Raw genomic sequence first — 24,305 nt, 5'->3', positions numbered from 1 at the left:
AACCTCTGCCAAACACTCTCATCTCTCTGGAGATGCTCACTAGAAAATTATACTTGTTTTTGGTCATTGGTAACTGTGACAAAGTTTCTTTAAACTATCTTTAGCTCCCCAAGTGTGCACTGTCATTGTTGCCACAGGTGAAATGCTCATTGAAGTGCTGAGAAATGGTGAGGTCACAGGACAAAAACCCATATCTGAGAGCTGGCTGCCTCCCTCCGCACACTCATCTGCTGGCTGTCCTGAGCATAAACCTGCATTGTCCCAGCAGCAAGGGAAAAATCAGGTGAGTATTTTCTATTTCAGTCTAGAAGGCATAGCCTGCACCAGAAGGAAGTGTACTGGGAGATGGAGCAAAGGCTTTTGTCTGGGAAATGGGAATCTTCTGGGCTAGAAACTAAGTCAGTGCCAACACAATGCAGGGAAAGGGAAATAATCACTGGGTCATGGGCTGGACTCATGGAGAAGGAATGGAGGTCAAGACCATAAACCAGCCCCTAACTGCTTCTCATTTAATGTAATCCTCGCTGTTCATCATTGTTGGTTTCAATAAAGTCATTAAATCTTTTTTTGTTTGTTTGAGGCAGGGTCTCTTTCTGTTGCTCAGGCCAGAGTACAATTGTGGCCCACTGCAGCCTTGACTCAAATGATCCTCCCACCTCAGCCTTCCGAGTAGCTGGGACCACAGGCATGTGCCACAACATTCAGCAAATTTTAAAAAATTTTTTGTAGAGACAGGCTCTCCCTATGTTGCTCAGGCTGGTCTCCTGGCCTCAAGCAATCCTCTTGCCTCAACCTCCAAAAGTTTTGGGGTTATAGGCATGAGCCATCATACCCGGCCTATTTTTAAGTTCTCTAATATAATTTGGAAATTAATTTGCCAGCTGCTCTCTCTTATCTACATGAACATTTCTAAGATTTGTAGACTTGTTTCCATGACACCTCCATGCCTGTGATCATGTATAAGATGTAGCTGATTGAATTATCTTATTCTGTTCAGAAATAGTAAATATAGTGTTTTCACCAACTCTGTGCATAGAATATACCAAATGGAGACCGTAACTGTGCCGTGACAGAAAAAAAATCTGTTGTCTCTTTATTATGGTGAGGCTGTTTTCCTTCATGAAATCAGCAAAGAAAGGTAACTGACCTTAGGTTTTTGTATTCAGGAAAAAAGTTACACTCTTCAGCAGTTTTCAGAATTGCATTATTTTGTGATCTTTCCTCTGGTGTAAAAATGTTTTCATGCCATTCGCAGTCTCAGTGCTCATCTTAGTACTATTTTGAGTCAATGTACAATCTTTACCTCTAGTTTTTCTTTTGCATGGTGGACTCGTGTTTTAATATAGTGAACCAGTCTGACATTGAAATACTATATTTGATATTTTTGCATTCACAAATACTCATTTTCTTTCTACACTCATGGTAATTTAGTTTCTCCTGCAATGTTTTCCCTCCTACTCATTTTCCTGCTCCCTTGCTTAGCGCATGCCCATTCTATTGTATGCTCCTTCCTGGTTAAGATGGAAAAGAACCTCCTCTTTTAATTCCATTTGTGCATTCAATAAATTCCATTTGGTTTATATAATTATTCTTTTAAGGTTATACTAAAATCAGCCCATCTATATTTTACTTGGATCTCTAATCACTATAATGTTTGCCTAGAAAACAAGCAATGTTGTTTTCAATCACAATTGAAAAGAAAAACAAGACTCACAACCATTCTTTTAAAAACTCAAGAGATACAAAATATTTTTTTAAGTATGTGGATTGTTTTAAAAAATAAATATATCTGGGCCGGGCACAGTGGCTCATGCCTGTAATCCCAGCACTTTGGGAGGCCGTGGAGGGCAGATCACCTGAGGTCAGGAGTTTGTGACCAGCCTGGCCAACATGGTGAAACCCTGTCTCTACTAAACATACAAAAATTAGCCAGGTGTGGTGGCACGCACCTGTAATCCCAGCTACTCGGGAGGCTGAGGTGGGAGAATGACTTGAACGTGGGAGGCAGAGGTTGCAGTGAGCCGCGATGGTGCCACTGCACTCCACTCCATCTCAAAATAAATAAATAAATAAATATATCTGCTGCTAAGACAGCATAGTGGTCAAGTACACTAGCAGCTTCTGACACTGCCTCTTACAAGGAAGTGACTTTGGGAGTGTCATTCAGCTTTCCTGTGCCCAAGATTGCCTCACCTGTCAAATGGGAACAATAAAGCCCTTCAGAGAATTGTTGTAACAGTTATACATAAAACACTGTTATAACACTCTTATGCTAGGAATATGTATCTATATACACATATATATTTTTATAGCAAAACTCTCAGAAAAAGGAAAATGAAATTTAATAGGAAATTAATGGTTTGAAAACTATGGTCCACAAGAGTGGATTTCAGTTGTCATGGTACCACAGGCCTCCTGTTTTCATGCAGGATCTTCTCACTCTGAATAGGATGATCAGTCATTGAAAAATGGCAAATGGCCTCCAGGGATGTGACAATAGGAATGATCTTCTTATCTCAGGCCACAGTAGGATTCCTGGGCAATTGCTTTCTTCTTTATCATTATAGTTTCCTTTATTTCACCAGATGCACATTAAAGTCCACAGATCTGATTCTCCAGCACCTGACTATAGCCAACTCCTTGGTCATTCTCTCTAAAGGAGTCCCACAAACAATGGCCATTTCCTCAGTGACATTGGGTGCAAATTTGTTTTCTGTTTCCACAGAGTGGGCAGGGGTGTGTGCATGGGCACCACCTGATTTCTGAGTATCTTCCAGGCCATCACGATCGGCCCCACAAATTCCACGTGGGCAGAGCTGAAACTATAAGCTCCCAGATACGTTGGGGCCTTCACCCTCCTGTGCTAGGTGCTGAACATGCTGGTAAATACCATTTTTCTTAGGAGTATGACTGACAAGTGGAGTAACAAACATAACACACGGAAAAGAGATTTGGGATATTGTTGTGCAGTAAGTAATAACAGAATTACAGGATTACTACATACAACGTTGTCATGATCCTACGATGTTTTGTGTTTGGGCCTCATGACCTGGGCCAGCAGGTCCATGGTCTTTATTCGGCACAGGCACAGGGAGTGGGTCCAACACCTTCACAGGACTAACCTCCCCACCAGGTCCTCCCCTGAGTTCAGAGTGACCCAAAGCATCCTTGTTCTAGTGAGCACCTTTGCATCATTCTATACCCTCTCCTCTGTCTTCACACCATTTTTGGCTAAGTACCCTAACCCCAGCTGGTGGCTGGTGAACACGTCTGCACTGACCACTGCCTGTTTCCCCACAGTCAGCCCCTTTGTCCTCATGGGCCATGACCAGGGCATTCGGGCTCAGCTCTGCCTGATGTGGAAGGACTGGACAATCTCCTAAGCTAGTCGCATAGCTCTAATTTATGTGGGCTGTCTTGATTGTTTCTACACTGTGCAGTTATTTACTCTCCCTGTGCCGATGTTGAAGCGCCACTGTGAGCAGTCACATGACAGAGAGTGTGATCTGGAAACAGATCCTCTGCCTTCGTAGGATTGTCATGGGGTGAGAATGGCAGGTGTAGACTAAATGTTTTGAAAATGATTTTATAATTTTTTTTTTGAGACTGAGTTTCATTCTTGTCACCCAGGCTGGAGTGCAGTGGCGCCATCTCGGCTGACTGCAACCTCCGCCTCCCAGGTTCAAGCGATTCTCCTACCTCAGCCTCCTAAGTAGCTGGGATTACAAGCACCCGCTACCACGCCCAGCTAATTTTTTGTATTTTTAGTACAGATGGGGTTTCACCATGTTGGCCAGGCTGGTCACAAACTCCTGACCTCAGGTGATCCACCTGCCTCGGTCTCCCAAAGTGCTGGTATAACTTTCATTTATTAAACATTTTAGTGGAGAAGTTTAGAAGCTAAAAACTCTTTTCTCTTTTTTAAATGGGCCTCTAATAACTTGGAGACAATGGAAAGCTTATACGAGTATGTAATGTAGAACCGATTAATTAAAAATATCCTGAAATTAACTGGACACAGAAATATAAGAAGAGTTTAATAAAATGGAAAAGACTGAGTAATTGCTTATCAAGAAAGTGAAAAGGAAAAGCAGGAACACCACAGCAAGTGGCCTGGAATGAAGCATGAAGGAAAACGGTGTATCAGATACTGCAGGACATCAAAGACCAGTTTTGTCATTTTACCTTAAATCCTGAAAAGAAAGTTAATCATTTGAGATATGTGATTTTTTGGTGGGAAGAGAGTAGCATATTTTTCAAATATTTTCAGGTAAAAGTAAACAGAATGGCCTGGGTGGGGCAAAGTGAGCACAAGAATTTTTTTTTTTTTTTTTTTGAGACGGAGTCTCACTGTTTCCCAGGCTGGAGTGCAATGGTGTGATCTCGGCTCACTGCAACCTCCACCTCCTGGGTTCAAGCGATTCTCCTGCCTCAGCCTCCCGACAAGCTGGGATTACAGGCGCCTGCCACCACACCCGGCTAATTTTTATAAGTTTTAGTAGAGACGGGGTTTCACTGTGTTAGCCAGGCTCGTCTCAAACTCCTGACCTCAGGTGATCCACCTGCCTCGGCCTCCCAAAGTGCTGTGATTACAGGCCTGACCCACCATGCCCAGCCAAGAATCTTATCAAGAAGTTTTAATTAGAACTTGATTCACAGCTAATAAATATTAGAATTGTGGCCGGGCATGGTGGCTCATGTCTGTAATCCCAGCACTTTGAAAGGCCAAGGTAGGTGGATCACCTGAGGTCAGGAGTTTGAGACCAGCCTGACCAATATGGTGAAACCCCGTCTCTACTAAAAATTACAAAAATTAGCCAGGTGAGGTGGTGCATGCCTGTAATCCCAGCTACCTGGGAGGCTGAGGTGGGAGGATCGCTTGAACCAGGAGTCAAGAGGCTGCAGTGAGCCGAGATTGTGCTCCAGCATGGGTGACAGAACAAGACTTCATCTCAAAAAAAAAAAAAAAAAAAGAGGGAGAGGGATCATAGAGAAAACCAACTGGTTTTTGGAACACTTTGGAGGTAGAATATTCTGTATTCTTATCTCTCAAGTGATAATCTCAATTAGCCTGCTCCAAAGAAAGAAGTGGGATGAACCACACATTCTGATCTTTGGGAAGGAATCTATGGTGGAACCGTCCACTGTCCATGGAGGAGCTGAAGACAAGGTATCTGGGAAAAACGGCCATGGCTTCATTTTTTAGGGAAGATAATTGCTGGTTTGAATAGTAAGGGGGAACTTTTGACAGAATCATAAGATAAAATGTGCAGTTCTTTGACCACAGTGAAAAACTTTAACAGACCCTTTGTGATGTGATTATATTTGTGATAACACAGATAACATTTATTGATGATTCAAAATTTTCAACAATACGACACACATGCTTGTCCTAATTGACATATGCTGAATCTGAGCTTTGTATCACATTTTTCAGCACAATGAAACCATTGAAATATTTTGTTCTCAAAGAAAGTTGTTTTTTTTTTTTTTGCTTTTTCATGCTGGTTATTATTGATATAAAATAAAAAAAATAGGAACTTACAAGGCTTAATTATGAAAATACTTTGTTTTTATTATAAATGTCTGTACTTTTTGATAAAAACTCCAACTTTATAGTTTGAATGTAATTTTATTTTATTTTTTTTGTTATTATTATACTTGTTTAAGTACATGTGCACAATGTGCAGTTTACATGTGTACACATGTGCCATGCTGGTGTGCTGCACCCATTAACTCATCATTTAGCATTAGGTATATCAAAGAAAGTTTTTTTGTTTGTTTTGTTTTGTTTTGTTTTTTGAGACGGAGTCTTGCACTGTAGCCCAGGCTGGAGTGCAGTGGTGCGATCTCGGCTCACTGCAAGCTCCGCCTCCCGGGTTCAAACCATTCTTCTGCCTCAGCCTCCCCAGTAGCTGGGACTACAGGCGCCTGCCACCACGCCTGGTTAATTTTTTTGTATTTTTAGTAGAGACGGGATTTCACCGTGTTAGCCAGGATGGTCTCGATCTCCTGACCTTGTGATCTGCCCTCCTCAGCCTCCCAAAGTGCTGGGATTACAGGCATGAGCCACTGCGCCTGGCCTCAAAGAAAGTTTTACCAAGCATAAAATATTTTAATCAAAGAGATTAGCTTTGCTACTTATAATGTAATAATATTTGTAAATAATATATTAAAGAATTTTAAATTTTAAAGATTAAAACTAGGCAATATTCCTAATATTATTTTTTACACGAGAAGACAATATAACTCCTCCAAATCAAAGTTGTGCACGCTATTTGATTCAAGAGTTTTAGGCAAAATAAGATAACTGCAAATTCAATTACTAGAATAAAGGATGCCGACAATATGCATGCTTAATGTCAGTCTCTGGAACTTATACATAGAAGCATAGGCTAAATACAGTAATGTGTAACAACAAAGCATAAGGTAGACAGTAAAATATAGAATAATTATTACATAGAATATAACAAAAAAGGAATAAAATTATGATAAAATACACAGACCTAGTGCAATGGTGAGAAAAAGATGAAGAGACTAACTTAAATATTAATAAACACGATTAAAACAATTGATAGTTTTTAAACCCGTAGAGACTAATATAAACAACCTTATGGTAATAAATTAGAAAACAGAGAAAAGTGATTTCTATATAATATAGTTGCCATTCTATGGCTGCACTCATCACTGCCTGTTTTCCCACAGTCAGCCCCTTTGTCCTCATGGGCCATGACCAGGGCATCCAGGCTTAGCTCTGCCTGCTGTGGAAGGACTAGACAATCTCCTAAGTTAGTCGCATAGCTCTAGTTTATGTGGGCTGCCTTGATTGCTTCTACACTGTGCAGTTATTTACTCTCCCCGTGCCGAGGTTGAAGCACCACTATGAGCAGTCCCGTGACAGAAAGTGTGATCCAGAAACGGAGCCTCTGCCCTCCTAGGAGGTGTCAACTCAACTCAACTGGGAATAATTAGAAACTAAAAAAAATTTTTTTTTTAATATTTGGAAGCATTCACCAAAAGTGGTCATTGTTTTCAATGACACTTTTTCCCATGTTTTTCAAGTTTAGGTATTCATCTTTCAAATCCATTTCATTAATCATGAAAAAAAAGAAAAGCCATGGAAAGACTGTGTGTGCTATTAGATCCACTATACCCAAACTTTTAAAATAGGCCAGGAAGAATTATGAATTTTGACATAAAATTACTAGCTAAGTATACAAAATGATGACAGATGGTTTATTTCAAAAAGGGTGCAGAGTATGCTAATAAGAAAATCAAATCTATCATCCAGTACATTGCAAATAAATGAGACAACTACATTCACTGAGGAAATCATTTTATACCCTTGTAAATGTCCTTCATGTGTAAATTAACTTGGGATAAATATTCTGAGGACTTTCAATTATTAGTGATGACAACACATCAGGATAGAGAAATAAATGATACAAGAGGGCAATGAGCACAGAAGACATTCTCAACATCCACTTCACCCCTGTTAGTATGGGTGTAGTTCAGAAGACAGACAAGTGTGGGGGAAAACATGAGGAAACTAGAGCCCCATGCAGTGCTGGGGGGTTGGTGAAATGAGGCAGCCATTTTGGAAAACATTTTGGAAGTTTCTCCCAAGGTTAACATAGGGTTATCATATGGCCCAGCAATTCCACTCCTGAAGATATACCCAACAGAAATGAAAACATATGCCCACACAAAGACTTGATATGCTTTTCATACGAGGATTATTGATTATCACCAAAAAGTGGAAACCACCCAAATGTCCCTCAATGGAAGACTAGATACACAGCCGAGACACATTCATGCAATGGACAATTAGCCATACAAAGGAATGAAGCACTGATATGTGCCTCTATATGGACGGCTATTTAAAACAACATGATCAATGACAAAAGGCAGACATCAAAGCCAGAGACTTTATTAATCTAGTTGTATAAAATGCCCAGAATAGGCAAATCCATAGGAACAGAAACTGGATTAGTGGTTACCAGGGCCTTGGGGAGTGAGGGGAGCAATAGGAAACGAGCACTTAATGGGTGTGAGGTTTCTTTTGGGGGTGTCATACTGTTCTGGAACTACATAGTGATGATTGTAAAATCTTGTGAACACAACAAAAAGCACTGAGTTGTAAATTCTAACATGATTAATATATTAAATGTTATATAAATTTTATCTTAATAAAAAGAATTAAATAAACTCCAAACCCTTGTGCCAAAAGTGGAAACAGCTTTTCAGCTATAAATGTGGCAAAAAACTCATCAACATGAAATTAACAGAATGGAAAATTGAAATGAGAAAAGCAGAGTCAACAAATTTCCACTGATGTTTTGCAGTCACGCAGGAGAGCCAAGAAAAGACACGCCCAGGCTTCAGTTATGCATTTGATGCAACTTTCTGTCATAGAAATTTATCTGGTCCTAGTAGTTGAATCAATTGGGCATATTGGTGTGACCTTAAAAATGCTTAAAATACATCTTTTTAAAAAAATTAAGTCTGGCACTCATAAAGATACAAACACATGTTAAAATATTTTATTTAACTTATAAGAGATTAGCAGATACAATAACCAGTAGAAAAAAAGAATCCAACAAACAGAGGAATATTAACCAGGAGTATTTAAATGAGTATGTAAATGGGAAGAAAGCTCATTTCCTTCCTCTGTGAGAGGAGAGAAAATTGACCCTGGACTGGACAACACATTGTGCATGTCTATCAGTGACCTAAAACTTAAAAAGGGTTGCAAAACACACATTGAGTGCAGACTAGAGTCAGATAACCTGGCGTGGTATCTTCTAAAGAGGGTAAGGTTTTCCACTGAAGAACACATTTTTCTTTTTTCTTTTTTTTTTTTTTTTTGAGATAGGTCACTCTGTCACCCAGGCTGGAGTGCAGTGGTGCAATCTCGGCTCACTGCAACCTCTACCTCCTAGGCTCAAGCAATCCTCCCACCTCAGCCTCCCGAGTAGCTGTGGCCATAAGCGATGCCACCACACCCGGCTAATTTTTTGTATTTTTGCTAGAGACGGGGTTTTGCCATGTTCCCCAGGCTGGTCTCAAACTCCTGAGCTCAAGTGATCCACCTGCCTCAGCCTCCCGAAGTGCTGGGATTACAGGCATGAGCTACCACCAGCCAGAACGCATTTCTTTCTACAATAAAAAGTCAAATGAAAGGTTAGGTTTGGTCACTAGGATGACCAGGGTCCTATCATGGGCACTTCTAGGCCAAGTGGACACCAATGGCATCCCAGTGAGGGGCTGGCCCACAGGAACACAACGGTGGGAGTGAGCACTGGCATCTTGAGTGGCCCAGGCCAGGGGCAGGATCAAGCTGGGCCAATCGGAGCAAAGCTCCCTGTCTTCATCCTTTTTGTGCTGCTATCACACAACCTAAGAATGGATAATCTATAAAGAAAAGAGGTTTATTTAGCTCAGGGTTCTACAGGCTGCGAACTATAAGAGGCATGGGGCTGGCATCTGCTCGGCTTCTAGAGAGGACCTCGTGCTGCCTCCACTCATGGTGGAGAGTGGAAGGTGTGTGCAAAGAGATCACACGGCAAGAGGTGAATCAAGAGAGAAACCAAGAGAGCCAGACTCTTTCTAACAACCTGCCCTTGCAGGAAATAATGACAGTGAGAACTCACCCCTGGAAGAGGGCATTCTTTATGAGGGTCCACACCCATGACCTAAAATCCCCCACTAGGGCCCACCTCCCAACCCTGCCACATTGGCATCAAATTTCACAAGAGATTTTTTATTTTTGTGTTTCTGAGATGGAGTCTCGCTCTGTCACCCAGGCTGGAATGCAGTGGCATGATCTTGGCTCACTGCAACCTCCACATCCCAAGTTCAAGCAATTCTCCTGCCTCAGCCTCCCGAGTAGCTGGGACTACAGGTGCGCACCACCACGCTGGGCTAATTTTTGTATTTTTAGTAGAGACAGGGTTTTGCCATGTTGTCCAGGCTGGTGTCTCAAACTCCTGACCTCAAGTGATCCCCCCATCTCAGTCTCCGAAAGTGCTGGGATTATAGGTGTGAGCCACCACACCCAGCTCAACATGAGTTTTGTTGGGGACAAATAACATCCGAGCCACACCATTCACCAAACCTTGTGTCTAGAAAAAGGAGACTTTTAGAGGTCCTATAGGCTTAGGAAGCTGCCTGGCACCCTCTCAGCAGGAGCAGAGCTGCCATACCCCCTGAACTCTGTGGACCCCTCTCGTGGGAGATCCACTGTGCCCAGTGGCTTGGCCCATGCACGCCTGATTTCCTCACTGCCACTGTTGAGGACCTGATGGCTGACACCTTGGTGGGTAATAAAGCCCACAAAAGCCACAGAAGGTGCAGCTATATTGTAATATAATATAAAGTGTATATATAAAAATTATACATAATAGGTATTATATAGTGTAGGTACATATATATGTAAATATTCTGGCCAAAGACATGTATTCAAGTGGTTACTAGTTATTAAATATTCATGATCATACTTATTTATAAATACATTTTATTACAAACACAGTTACTCATCTCAGATGAAACACCTAATCCGTCTAATCATTACATATTTTACAGAGCTTCATAGAGTTATCAGTGGCTGAATAAATGCTTTTTGAGATAAAATATATTCCACGTAAAGTCTTATCCAAGAGATAGACTCAAAACCCATGTAAGTCTTTTTTTTTTTTTTTTTTTTGAGATGGTGTTTCAATCTTTCCCCCAGGCTGGAGTGAAGTGGTACGATCTCCTCTCACTGCAACCTCCACCCCCCCAGGTTCAAACGATTCTCCTGCCTCAGCCTCCTGAGTAGCTGGGATTACAGGCACCCACCACCACATCTGGCTAATTTTTATATTTTTAGTAGAGACAGGGTTTCACCATGTTGGCCAGGCTGGTCTCAAACTCCTGACCTCAGGTGATCCACCCACCTCGGCCTCCCAAAGTGCTGGGATTACAGGCGTGAGCCACCGTGCCCGGCCTGAACCCATATAAGCCTTACAGGCACTTTCATGGACTGCATTAAGATAAAAATGGGTGTCTCCCTCCTTCCCAGTGAAGTAAAAAAAAAAGTTACAAATAGGTGTCCCGTCAAATGTTGTAACAATCTTAACCCCATTCTCATGAGTGGCAACGTTTGAGGTTTTCTCCTGTTCATCAAAGGCTCAAATGACACCCTCTGCTGCTTGTGGCATTTTCGTAGAGAGCTGGCATGAGGCTGCCTAGCTCACCTAAAGTACGATCAGATGACCTGTCTTTGAGATATCAGTTTACCATTTACCAGCCATTTAATCCTGTCTATTTATTTATTCCATCTAAACGGCAGTTTCCTCATGTAAAATAAGGATAATGAGTTCCTCCATTGTTGAGTTAGCCCAAAGAATAAGTCACCCAGAGCCTATAACCTGCTGTTAGCACACGGCTTGGCACACCATGCCCTGAGTAAACAGTGCATCTGTCTTCTGTATACTCCAGATACTCACGTGTGCCTCCCAAAGACGCACCTGGGCTGGGTCCTCATATAATTCCCGGATTCTTGAGTCCCAGGCTATGAAACCACACCCTACTGAGCTTTGTAGCATGTCAATCAGAGGAGGAGGACAGAGCTGGGTGAGTGAAGTGCAATCCACGCTGGTTTCCTCTCTTCCCCACTGCCTGGTGACCCATGCACTCCGCCTCTTCCCACCATCAGTCAAAGCAGCAGGACCTGGCTTGGCTTTGCCTCCTTTGCAAAGATGACCTAAGAATGAGATAAGTACTATTGGGATTGTGCTTAGAATTCATTGAATATGTGCTTCTATAATACAAAAGGCTTCATTGTCACATAGTGTTCATTAATACCCATATTTACAGAACTCTCATTGGTCATATGTCACCCAAACAAATTTTTGATTTACTATAGAGAGCCATGAAGCACGCTTAGCATTAGCTCAGTAAGCACAGACCATGGTGATTCACACCTGTCTGAGTCAGGGGCTGACTTAAGATTGCACCATCCCCTGTGCAAGGGTGTGGAGGCACAAGGGGCCAGAAGGGGCTAGGGTGAGGAGAGGGTTTGGGTGATGGGATTTTTCTCTAAGGGTTGTGCTACCTTCTCCCCTGTGGGCATCCCAGCATTTGGAGAGCACCCAGGATCCGGAATTTACTCCTTTCTGCCCATTTGCCACCACTCTAGACCCTACAGTCCTCTGGGGCTTCCACCTACCCTGCACCCAGAGCTCCCCGTGTGCTCCAGGGGACTACACAGGATGGTTAACTGAACACCTATCTCCAAAGAGTTACTCTCCTCTCTCAAATACCCATTCATACTTGGCTTAATCTTTCAAGATGCTGAAGTTGGATACTGGTGGATGGGTGATTACGGAGTGCAGAGGGAATGGGCACCTCCATGCTGGTAAGAAAGCCACTAACAAAGCACATTTTCCTTTAGTTTCTAGCAGCCTCTTGCCACTCACAGATCAACCATATCAACTTCTAGTGCTTTGGATTCATTCAAGGCTCAGTGTCAGCTCTGGGGACCCCTTACCCCTTTTTCCTAGCAGGAGAAACATGAACAAGCAAAGTACTCAGGCTGCTTGTTTCAATCCTGTCTCACCCACTCGTCGCTACATTCGCAGACAGGACAGTGCAGGACACTCATCCCCACCTTGCTCACCACTTGGCCAAGAGAATTCACAGGTCCTCTTACCAGGCCTACAAAGGGGCCAGAAAGTCATCTCTCAGCATCCCAGCCTCATTACCAAAACTTTCCATAAGTGTGCAGCTTCTTCAATTCCATCCTATTGTAAGTCGTCATATTAACCTGCCATTTTCATGGATGCCGGTAGAAGCCATGGGATATTAGCTCCTTTTCAGGAGTTTGATTTGCAAAGACTCTCTCCTATTCCTTAGGTTATCTCATCACTCTATTTCCTTTGCTGGGCAGAAGCTTTTTGCTTTGATGTAATCCCATTTGTCTTAATTTTTCTTTTGTTGTCCGTACTTTTGGGGGTCACATCCAAAACACTATCACCCAGACCAATGTCATAGAGATTTTCCCCAGTGTGTTCATCTAGTCGTTTTAGTTTCAGGGAGTGTGGTCACCACAGACATTTTCTGAAATAACACTGCTGTCAGCATAGTGTAAGAGTAACATTCAAGAGACATCTGTAATACCTATGTCTTTTTTTTTTTTTGAGACGGAGTTTCGCTCTTGTCTCCCAGGCTGGAGTGCAATGGCACAATCTCGGCTCACTGCAACCTCTGCCTCCCAGATTCAAGCCATTCTTCTGCCTCAGCCTCCCAAATAACTGGGATTACAGGCATGCACCACCACACTCAGCTAATTTTTGTATTTTTAGTAAAGATGGGATTTCGCCACGTTGGTCAGGCTAGTCTCAAACTCCTGACCTTAGGTGATCCGCCCACCTCAACCTCCCAAAGTGCTGGGATTACAGGCATGAGCCACCACACCTGGCCTGTAATACCTCTCTTTAAGCATTCCTTAAGTGCATTACGGTGCAGTCATCACATCACTCACTGCCAAAACATTGTTCTTAACATAGTATGTATGTAGAATACCACAAAGCAGCTTTAAAACACGTGTCTTAGTACTTTGCTATAGGCATTATTTTATGGTCATCACATCCATTCTTTGAAACAACACTGTATGCGACATAGTGTACAAGTAGCCTTGTAAGAAATATCTTTTAAACAAGTGTCTTTTAGCCCAACTCTGCATGCATTAGAGTGTGGGCTTCACCTCCACCTGAAGTAACACTGTTCTCCACATGGTGTATGAGAAACATGATGACAAACAGCTGTGAAATGTGTGTCTCTGCATCCACCTCATGCATTACTTGGGGGTTTTCATATCCGTTCTGTGTAATAAGACTACGACAACATAGTGTACGTGTAGCATTCTTAGAAATATCTGTAAACATGTGTCTTTTAACGCTACATACAGAGTGCTCACCACATCCATTCTTGGAAATGACACTGATCTCAACATAGTGTGTACATAGCTTTCTCAGAAACATCTTTAAATATGTCTTTACACTATAGGCATTATTGTGTTACCACCATATCCAGTCTCTGAAATAAAACTATTTGCAACATAGTGTATAGAAAGCATTCTAAGAAACAGCTTTTAAACATGTTATAGTCACCATGTCTATACTGTTAAAATAACATTCTCCCAACACAGTGTGTGAGTAGCATTCTAATCAACTGGGTTTTTTTTAAATTTTTTATTTCTCTTCTTCCTTAGAATTAGGCATAACTATGTATCTCACAGGTTGGTGTGATAAACCAAGCAAATAATACTTGTCTAGTACCTAGCATTTAGTTAGGGCCGAATGCATACAGCTACTGGTATTTATTTTACCAGATACATATTTTAATTATTTTTCATAAATTTACAGCTAAGCCCAAGTGCATATTGATTAATCCTGATGCATATTATAGAATAATAGTATGCTAGGAGATTGGCTGTTGAGTACTCCCCAGAAGTAGCCAAACTGCAAAGTCTCATGGCACATTCCTTAAGACTGCCTTTGCAAGCTTGGGGTGTTCACAAAACCACTGTCAGATACAGTAATTCACAGAAGGACTCACAGAGCTCAGTGGAAGCTATTATACTCATGGTTATAGTGTATTACAGGGCAAGGGTACAAACTCATATCAGCCAAAGGAGGAGACCCACAGAGCTGAGTCTGGGAGATTTATAAATGCAAAGCTTCCACTGTCCTCCGGATGTGTTAGCCTACCTGCATGGATACACAACAACACACTAGGAGTATTTTTAGCTAGGGAAGCCCACCCACACTCTGCTGTCCAGAGATCTGACCGGGGCTTTCCTATGTAGACATGACTGACTGACTGATGATTTCTCACATGGGTCAAGTCAGTCATCAGGTAAACAAACTCATATCAGGGGACCAAAGCCACTACCCTAGGTTACATGATTGGTCTTTCTGGCATAATCACCCCATACCCTGAGACTGTTAGGTGTGGGCAGCCTCTCCATTAGATCCAGTGTGGTCAGCCCGGCTCTACACAAGGACACTCTGTCAGGTGTGATATGGGTTACCTCCCTGAAGTCAACAGAAGGGGCCAGACCTCTCTTTGGGCAAAGCCAAATTACTTACTATGCAGATGTCTTGCCAGAAATGTACAAAGAAGATGATGTGTTTTGTTTTTGCTGCATTATTTTATTTCATAAGAACCCAGTAAACTGAATACAGTAATATAAAGTATGAAGTAAATACACAATGTTGCTATTAGAAAATTTTCAAAGTATAAGCTTCAATAGTCAATATCATAATGGTGTTCTGTTATCAAAGTTTTATTAATTGACAAATAAAAATTGTATATATGTATGTGCGCAACGTGATGTTTTGATATATGTATATATTGTAGAATGCCTAAGTCCAGCTAATTCACATAATCCTCACTTAACAAACTTTTATTGTTGTGGGGAGAACACTTAAAATCTACTGTCTCAGCAGTTCTCAAGTGACTTCTCTCTGCAGGTTCACAGACGTAAACACATTGTTGTTAACTCTAGTCACCATGTTGCACTATGCAGCTCTTCAATTTATACCTCCTGTCTAACTGGACTTTTGTATCCTTTGACCCACATCTCCTCAATCAACTCGTCTGCCCCTGACAATCTCCATTCTACTCTCTGCTTCTGTGAATTCCTTTTTTGGATTCTACATAAGTGAGATCATGTGGGATTTGTCTTTCTGTACCTAGTTTATTTCAGTTAATGCCCTCCAGGTTTATCCATGTTGTCACAAATGACAGGATTCCCTTTTCTATTTTTAAAGGCTGACTAGTATTCCATTGTCAATATATACCACATTTTCTGGATTCATTCATTCATTCATGAACACTTAGGTTGACTTCATAAGGTTGGCTCTTATGAACAATGCTGTAATGAACACTGGAATGCAGATATCTCTTCAATATGCAAAATCCATATCCTTTAGATAAATACTTAGCACAGCTGGATCATATCACAGTTCTATTTTTAATTTTTTGAAGAACCTCCATACCGTTTCCCCTCCCGGCTGTACTAATGGGGTTCTCCAAGGATTTGGATGGGAGTCTGTCTGGGAATAGGGGGCCTCTAGGCTCTCTGTGGCCACCCCTACTGCACACCCACTGCCAGCTGCCTCTCTCTCTCCTCTTACAGATGGCCTGAACACGGCCCCCTCCATCACTTCCTGCCCCTCCACTGTCAAACATCTCACACAGGAGCCTCTGTCACGGTCCCCGCCCAGGACCTTCTCACCCCTGTTGGCAGTTACATCCCATCCCTACAGTTTGGAGCTTCACCCATGTCCACATATGACCACGGGTGGACAGGACCCGGGGCCCAGGAACCCATCGGCAAAGGTTGCCTATGTCCTCTGCCCAGGCCAGCCGCATGCACCCCCCTTTTCGCCAAACCAGGGGCTGTGGCCCAAACCTGTGGCCGAATAGACCTTCCTTGGGCTAGGCCTGCCCTGCTCTCTAGGGGAATGACAGAGATGGGGGCTAGGCCTACCCTGCTCTCTAGGGGAATGACAGAGATGGACCAAGAACGCAAACGATCTCTATACCTACTGGACCCATCCTGCAAAGCGTGCCTGCTAGTCCCAAGGCAGCCGCCAACGTGGGGCCTCGGGCCCTTTGGCCTGCTCTTTACCAATGCTCGAAACAAACGGAATGTTTGGTCAAGCCTCAGCTCTTACTGCAGGCATGGAGGAAAAGGGCACACTAAAGCCACGAGCGCACGAGGCTTCTACGGGCAGGCCCGGGTGCGGAGTCCCGGCTCCCTCCAGCAGGTGATGGCGCTTGCACTGGGCTCCACACTGAGGGATAATAAGGCCTGGCCTGGGCCTGTCAGAGAGCCGAGGGGCGCAGGAAGTTGAAAGGACCGTCTCCTGGGGCATTTGCTGCTGCTCTGGCTGCAGGACCTAGGCAGGAAGTCGGAATGACTTCCTCTTGGGCCGGGGGGGAGCCCCTTGAAGGTCTCTGTGCATGCGGGCTTGTGTGTGTGTGTGCGTATGTGTATGCTCGTGTCTGTGTCCTTGCACGTGTGCATTTGTGCGTATGTACTCGTGCATGTTTATGCGTGTGCTTGTGTGCACTTGTGCGTGTGCACTTGTGCATGTGTGCTTGTGTGTGCTTATGCATGTGCATGCTTGTGCGTATGTCCTTGTGTGTGTTTCTACACACTTGTGCATGTGTGCTTGTGCGTGTGTTTGTGTGTGTGCTTGGTGTATGTGTGCTTGGGTGTATATGTGCTTGTGTGTGTGTGCTTGTGTGTGCTTATATCTGTATGCTTGTGCATGTTTGCTTGTATTTGCATGTGTGCATGTTTGCATGTGTGCTTGGGTGCGTATGTATGTGTGTGCTTGTGCATGTATGCATATGTGTATGCTTGTGTGTGTGGTGTGTGTGCTTGTCTGTGTTTGCACGTGTATGTTTGTGCATTGTGCTTGTGTGTATTCATGTATGTGTGTGCATGTGTGTGTGCATGTGTGTGTGTGCTTGTGCATGTGTGCTGCTGTGTTTGTGCTTTTCTCCTCTTTTTGCATGAATCTGTGGACTCTATGAAACGCTTTGCTGATTCTTATGAATACTGAATAAGAGCAGGCCTAAGGGCCCCAGGCCCAGCAAGTCAGGTTTCCTTGAGCCTAGAGGACATACGCAGTCTGTTCAACGGGATGAGGGGTTGTGTCCTGGGTGAGTCCCTGTCTGGCAGAGGCCATTTCATTCTCCCAGAGAGTAGCCCAGGTCTAGTGGAGAGAAGGGATGTAGTTTGGGCGGGGCGCCTACTGGGGAATATTGGGAGCTCCCGCGAATGGCCAGGGTTCCCCAGCGGTGGATTCTGATGGAGGAAGTGGGGAGCCTTCACCAACGTGGGTGCCTGGTTGGGGGTCCTTACCCCCCTGGTCCTTTGTGAATATGGGTGAAGCCCCAAACTGTAGGGACGGGATGCCACTGTCAGCTGGGGCCATCCGATGGCCTGGGCACAGAGAAGTGACATAAACTTGGATGTGAAGTTCAATAGCGGAGGGGCAGAGGTGTTGGAGAGGGCCGTGCCCCAGCCACCAGCTGGAGGAGAGAGAGGAGTTTGGCTGGGGTGGGCATTCCGGAGGGGCGGGCACGGAGGTCAAAAGTCTCAAGGACCGGTGCGGTGGCTCATGCCTGAAATCCCAGAACTTTGAGAGGCCGAGGCCAGAGGATCGCTTGAGTCCAGGAGTTTGAGACCACCCTAGGCAATAGAGTGAGCCCCGTCGCTAGACCAAAAAAAAAAAAAAAGTTTAAAAAAATTAGGCGTGTTGGCGCGCCTGTAGCCTGGGAGGCTAAGGCGAGAGAATGGCTTGAGCCAGGGAGGTCGAGGCTGCATTGAGCCATAACTGCGCCATTGCACTCCAGCCTGGGCAACAAAAGAAGACCCCGTCTGGGGGGCCGTGGGGTGTGGCGGACGCCTAGAGGGCGCGGTATTCACAGGTGTTCTTCCATCAGAGTCTTTGAGGCTGGATTTCACTTGCTTCCGCGCGCAGCAGAAGAGCCCGGAACGTTCCTGGTGGGGCAGTGGACGGCTCCGGGAGCCTGCCTGGCGTGGCCTAGACGCTAAGCTGCAGCCGCGGCCAAACCGCCTGCTAGGCCTGGGCGCAGCTCCTCGCGCTGGTCTGGGAGCCCATTTTCAGCCCCACCCAGCCCTGTGGGTCAAGGTCGAGGCCCTGCCTCCGGGGCAACCTCCAGGGGCGCGGGGCCCCAGAGCTGCGTCCCTCACTGGGCTCTCCCTGGCCACCCCTCACGCCAGGGCCCTCCTGCCTGTGCAAGCCACAATTCAGTGGGCGTCTTCCTACAACTTGCATCGCTGCCTCCTATTACAAAGACAGACGGTTTGTTTCTCCCCCGGACAACGCCAATGAACAGAATCCAGGTGGCGTGGTCACAAGGACAGCCATCCCGCTCAGTGCCTCCTCGGTGACGCACCCCGCCCTTTAAGACGTCTCCAGTCTTTGCTCTCCATTCACGCTGCACCTCCCTGCTGTGACAGTGTTAGTGGCCAGTGTCCTCTTAGTGTCCTTTGACAGGAAAGCATCACCTGGGGTTGTCACACTGCCGGGCTGTACCTCTGCTCAACCAGCTGTGACCTGGACAGAGCCGCATAGGATGTAGGGAGAGGGAGGCACCAGTTTGTAGCCAAATGACACTCAGACTGTGACCAAATATCAGAATAGAAACTCTCGTTTATGGAAGTATAGGTGTGACTACATATACGATAAAATACAAGAACAGCTGACCATGAAAGGTGGAAAATCAGAAAAAGAACTGATTTCTACAGAAAAATTTCCAGTAGTCAGAGTAGGATTCCACCGAACCGCAAATGGTAATGGACACTGTGGGAAGCCACAAGCTCCTCCTGACAGTGGGCAAGACAGCTGTCCTCACATCTAGCACTTTGGATGGAATTCTGGAAAGAACAGCCAGCAGGTGATGGCGTATTTTGCCTATTACAGTCTTTTGACAAACACAATTAGATAAGGCATTTATGAAGTCCGAGGCATTTTATGGCATAATGCAAACATCTAGCATTTCCATTAACTTTGTTTTTTGTTAGTTTGTTTTTGTTTTTGTTTTTTTTGTTTTTGAGAGAGTCTTGCTCTGTCACCCAGGCTGGAGTGCAGCGCCGTGATCTCAGCTCACTGCAACCTCCACCTCCCAGGTTCAAGCAATTCTCTGCCTTAGCCTCCAGAGTAGCTGGGATTACAGGTGCCTGCCACCATGCCTGACTTTTTGTATTTTTTGGTAAAGAAGCAGTTTCACCATGTTGGCCAGGCTGGTCTCGAACTTCTGACCTCAAGTGATCCACCCACCTTGGCCAAAGTGCAGGAATTACAGGCGTAAGCCACCACGCCTGGCCAAGCATTTCCATCCACTTTGAATTTGGAAATGCATGTAGCTTGAAGAACAATTTTAAAATGAATGCTCAACAGAAACCTATTACTAAAAGAAAAATGCTGGCTTACTACATTCTAGTGAAAACTGATAGATTACACAAATATGTAACTGGTAAGTTTCCCCACTTAATTTCAAAGCTTACCAAGAGGTGTGATAAAGACTTTAAAAGCTGGAATTATGCCAGAAGCTTCATTATTAATAGGGTCATGGATTATATGGTGTATTGCTTAGCACTTTTAAAACTCTATCCCTAATTTTGTTTTGCTTTCTTTCTTTAGAGACAGAGTCTTGCTCTGTCACCCAGGCTGGAATGCAGTTGTGCAATCATAGCTCACTGCAGCCTCGAACTCCTAAGCTCATGGGATCCTCCCACCTTAGCCTCTCGAGTGCCTGGGCCTATAGGCACACGCCACTGCACCCAGTTACTCCTAGTCTTCTTAGAATCCATACAAAGATCTGTTTGTGAAAGGCAGTTTGATATGCTAAGAAATTTACTCAAAGTCCATTTGTCTCCCCCATTTATTTGGAAAACAGAATTACATTAAAAGGAAAAAGTAACAGCATGTTGAAATTTCACTTAAGTCGATACCCTTTGATACAAACTGGGTTATTATGCATTTATAAAAGATGCCCCTTGTTGGCCATGGAAAAGATACATTTTATGATCTACAGCGGCAGTATATTCACTTTAAGTAGGAATTAGGAATATAAATGCAAAAAAAAATTAAAATGTCACATTTTCTCTCCCCATTCTACAGAATAGAATTTTTTTGCTCCATTACTTAGGAGCTCGCACCTCCCTGCCTCCCTGTGAGATGCCATGCACCTGTTGCAGCTGTCAGCGGTTGTTGCCCCCTGACCATTCCTCTGCTCTACCCCTTACCCCAACACACTCCCTCTTCCCTTCCCAAAGGAAACCAATCTTGTGCTGGGGGTCGCCTTCCTCCACACAGCCACGGGCTCGGACAGTTCCCTGTCCCTGCTGGTCTTGGGACAAGCGAGGCGCTTCTAGCTGATAGGACAGGAGGGGAGGCTGCTGAGAGGCTTCTGGGAAGCATTTCCTGTTGAAGGGGATTATGGCACACCCTTCGTGGGAGGAGAGGGGATGCCTGGTGTCGAGCACCTGGGCCACCAGCAGCTGCCTCCGCTAGCTAACAGCAAGCTCAGGCTGGGTCTGGCCTCCCGCAGGACTTAGAGAAGCTCCCCTGTAGCCCAGCTGACTCCGGAGTTCCTTCCTTACAGCTCAAGACACCCAAGTTGATGTAACCCACAGTTTGAGAAATGCTTCTAGAAAACTCACCTGGAGAGGCCCAGCTCAGCTTTCCCTGCTGAACTTTGGGATGACACAGCTGGGACCATCCACAGTGACTCACTGAAAGAAAAGGGTGGCAGGAGGAGGAATGACGACTGTCCCCACACGGCCCCAAGAACATTTCATGGGCACCCCGGATACATGCTCATCTTACCAGCACTTAAATATTTATTTTAAAAATCCACATCATTTTGCTTTAAAAATGTTTATTCAGCGCCTGCAATGTAGAAGGCACTGTGTTTGGCACCATGAGGAATACAGAAACCAACAAGGCATGATTCTTGCCTTAGGAAGCTCACAGTCTAGCGTGGGAAATTAGAAATTGCACATGCACACAGGTAACTGTCACACCAGGCAGGAAGCACTAAATGCTGTGAGATTGATACCAACATTATAAGAACCCAGAGGAAGAAAACACTATTTGGGGATGAGGATAAGAGATTAGAGAAGTTCCCTTAGAAGTAGGGGGTTTAAACATGACAGATCAAATGTAGATAGGAAAAAATTCAGAGGAAAATGTAATCGGGGAAGGCTCTAATTAAAACCAGAAGCAGGAGGTACTTCTGTGATGTGATGGAGGCAGGAGAAGCCCCGCTGGGCTGGATTCAGAGGGGAGGGGAGACAAGAGGATGGGGAGGTGGAGGAGAGAGCAGGGAGTGGAGTGGGAGGGGAGGCTGGAAAGATGTGTGGGGATCAAGACGGGAAGGTGAGTATGTGAGTATGTGTGCCAGACAATGGTGTTTCCATGTCAATGGAGGTTTCTCAGAGAGAGGTGATCTGGCTGGAGAAAGCTTAATCTGGTGGCAATGGACAGGTGACTTTAAGAAGTGGGGAACGAGGGAAGGAGGCCAGTTTGAAAATGATAACAAGGGTCCAGACTCAGTGATGCAGCAGTGACCATGAGAACAGAGCAGCTGCAGGTAGAAGATGGAGACAGAACTGGGGAGATCTGGTGGAGGTAAGCCGGGTGGAAAGATGATGTCAGGTTTATACCTAGAGACACATGATCCATTCACAAAGCCAGGGAAACCTAAAGAGAAAACACTTAGAATTTGAGGAGAAGAGGCTAGGGCTGGGCCTGAGACATGGGCTGGCCTCCAGGTGGAGGGGTCCAGCAGGCAGGTACAAGCCGGATGAGAGTTCAGGGCAGAGGGCAGAGCCGGAAACAGACCAAAAGCTGCCATGGAGTGGCGAGGGTGGAAGCAGCGGCACAGGCCGAGGGCCATCTCGCCGGGGAAGGGTGGGTACAGCACAACCCTGTGGCCACGTTTTCCTCACACAGGAAATTCCCACAGAACACCCAGGAGGGTGACGATGCCTCCCATGAACAATGCCGTGTGTCTCTGTTTGTCCTTTGTCCCCGATTTCACACCTAAGAAACAATGTCTTCAGCTGTGTGATGACAAGTAGGAACGCTGCCTCCATTGTGGAGGATCATCTTGAAAAGACTTACTCCAATGAGAGTTTTTAAAAGTTTTCACTACTATTTATTTTGAAGAGTTTTCTGTAATGGAACTATTTCTTCTGAAGATTTCAGAAAAGCTTTTGATGTCTGTTACCTCACCATGTCTAAGAGGTGGAAGGAACTGAGAGTCATCTTCCCGCTCATTTCACAAGTGAGGAAGCCAAGGCCCAGACGGGCCAAGGGTCTTGCCCAGCATCACCCAGCAGGGATGGCTCAGCTGGACCCACAGGCAAAGACAGTACCTGCCCTCCCCACAGCCACTCCCCTGGGCAGCGGCTGCCATCCAGATACACAGAGATAGGGAGGAAGGAAGATGATGGACAGACAGGCAGATACATAGGTAAGAGGGTTTGGGAATAACACATAGATATTTTAACTTTTCGAGAGAGGAAAAGGAAAAAATGGCTTGTGATAGACATTTTTTGGACCCACCAAAGCCTTGCATATCTGAAAAGAAAATTACTTTGGCTTTCTGGAAACATTAAACTGCATTCAATCAAAAAAACAGACTAAATTATAACACATCACAACCAGTAAGCTTCATAGCAGCCGCAGTAGGAGTGATGGCATTTCGTGTTGGTGTGCGCGTACACGTGGAAAGGAAGTTTGCAGGGCAACAAGGTCAGCAAGAACCAGACCTCAGATTGTTTCACTCACCACAGAAGAAAAACACCCATGGCAATTCCCTTTTGGAAAGTTAAAGCTTATCTCCTCGGAATGAAGTTCCAAAGACATCCATTTCCACAGAAGATGGAGGAAAAAAGACAATTACATTTCAAATCTGTAAGTCACAAATAGACAGGCAGAGTTCTGGCGAGCCGTGTCACAGTTAACCAGTTTGAGGACATCAGTGTCTTCCCCCAGAGTCTGTAAACACGCAGCCAGTCAATTTCCTAATGAATGCTTCCCTTTAACAAAGGCTGCTTCAGTCCTCCCTGCAGGCCTACTAGAGTCTTCCAGCAGCACATCTCAGTGGGAGCCATCAGATTTTCCAAAAAATCTTCTTTCTATAGAGGATGTAGGCAATGAGCACCCAGAGGGCAGTGGCGACGATGTTCTGAGTCAGGTGCTCCTTGTGGGACTGGTTGTCCTTCAGCTTCCACTGAAAGGGGAAGTAGTTCTCAAACACCTCGTGGCCGACATATACCAGAATGGAATTCATTCCTTAAGGAGAGAGACATACAGAAGATCATGTTTCTCACAGATGAGTCACATCTAACCATCTATTTAATTCTTGAAACCAGTTCAATGAAAAAACAGAAAGTGTGCACTTCCATTGTTGGCTACTGCCAAAAATAAGTAATGCATATCTTAGGTATTTAAATATAAACCATATCAAAAATTATTGAAAGGCCTGGTGTAGTGGCTCACGACTATAATCCCAGCACTTTGGGAGGCCAAAGCGGGTGGATCGCTTAAGGCCAGGAGTTCGAGACCAGCCTGGCCAACGTGATGAAACCCCGTCTCTACTAAAAATACAAAATTAGCCGGGCGTGGTGGGGTGTGCCCGTAATCCCAGCTTCTTGGGAGGCTGAGGCACAAGAATCACTTGAACCTGGGAGGCGGAGGTTG

At 44.6% G+C, this 24,305-nt stretch overlaps 1 protein-coding gene and 2 pseudogenes across 7 annotated transcripts in view; 2 read left to right on the top strand and 1 right to left on the bottom strand.

Moving 5' to 3' along the window:
* Positions 2,476-3,357, top strand: VN1R46P (vomeronasal 1 receptor 46 pseudogene; annotated as a pseudogene).
* On the top strand, positions 6,672-6,801 carry VN1R45P (vomeronasal 1 receptor 45 pseudogene; annotated as a pseudogene).
* The window catches only part of HGSNAT (heparan-alpha-glucosaminide N-acetyltransferase), a 62,392-nt gene continuing 58,516 nt past the window's right edge, over positions 20,430-24,305 (bottom strand). For all 7 annotated transcript variants that reach the window (XM_005273409.2, NM_001363227.2, NM_152419.3 and 4 more), the window contains one exon: positions 20,430-23,897. In XM_005273409.2, coding sequence (XP_005273466.1) covers positions 23,716-23,897 — 182 coding nt within the window. In that variant the 3' untranslated portion in view covers positions 20,430-23,715. The remainder of the gene's footprint in view (positions 23,898-24,305) is intronic.

The sequence above is a fragment of the Homo sapiens genome, chromosome 8 (assembly GCF_000001405.40).
Source record: "Homo sapiens chromosome 8, GRCh38.p14 Primary Assembly".
Lineage (NCBI taxonomy): Eukaryota > Metazoa > Chordata > Mammalia > Primates > Hominidae > Homo > Homo sapiens.
Note: the sequence above shows the minus strand (reverse complement) of the source record. Positions and strands in the feature narration are given on the sequence as shown.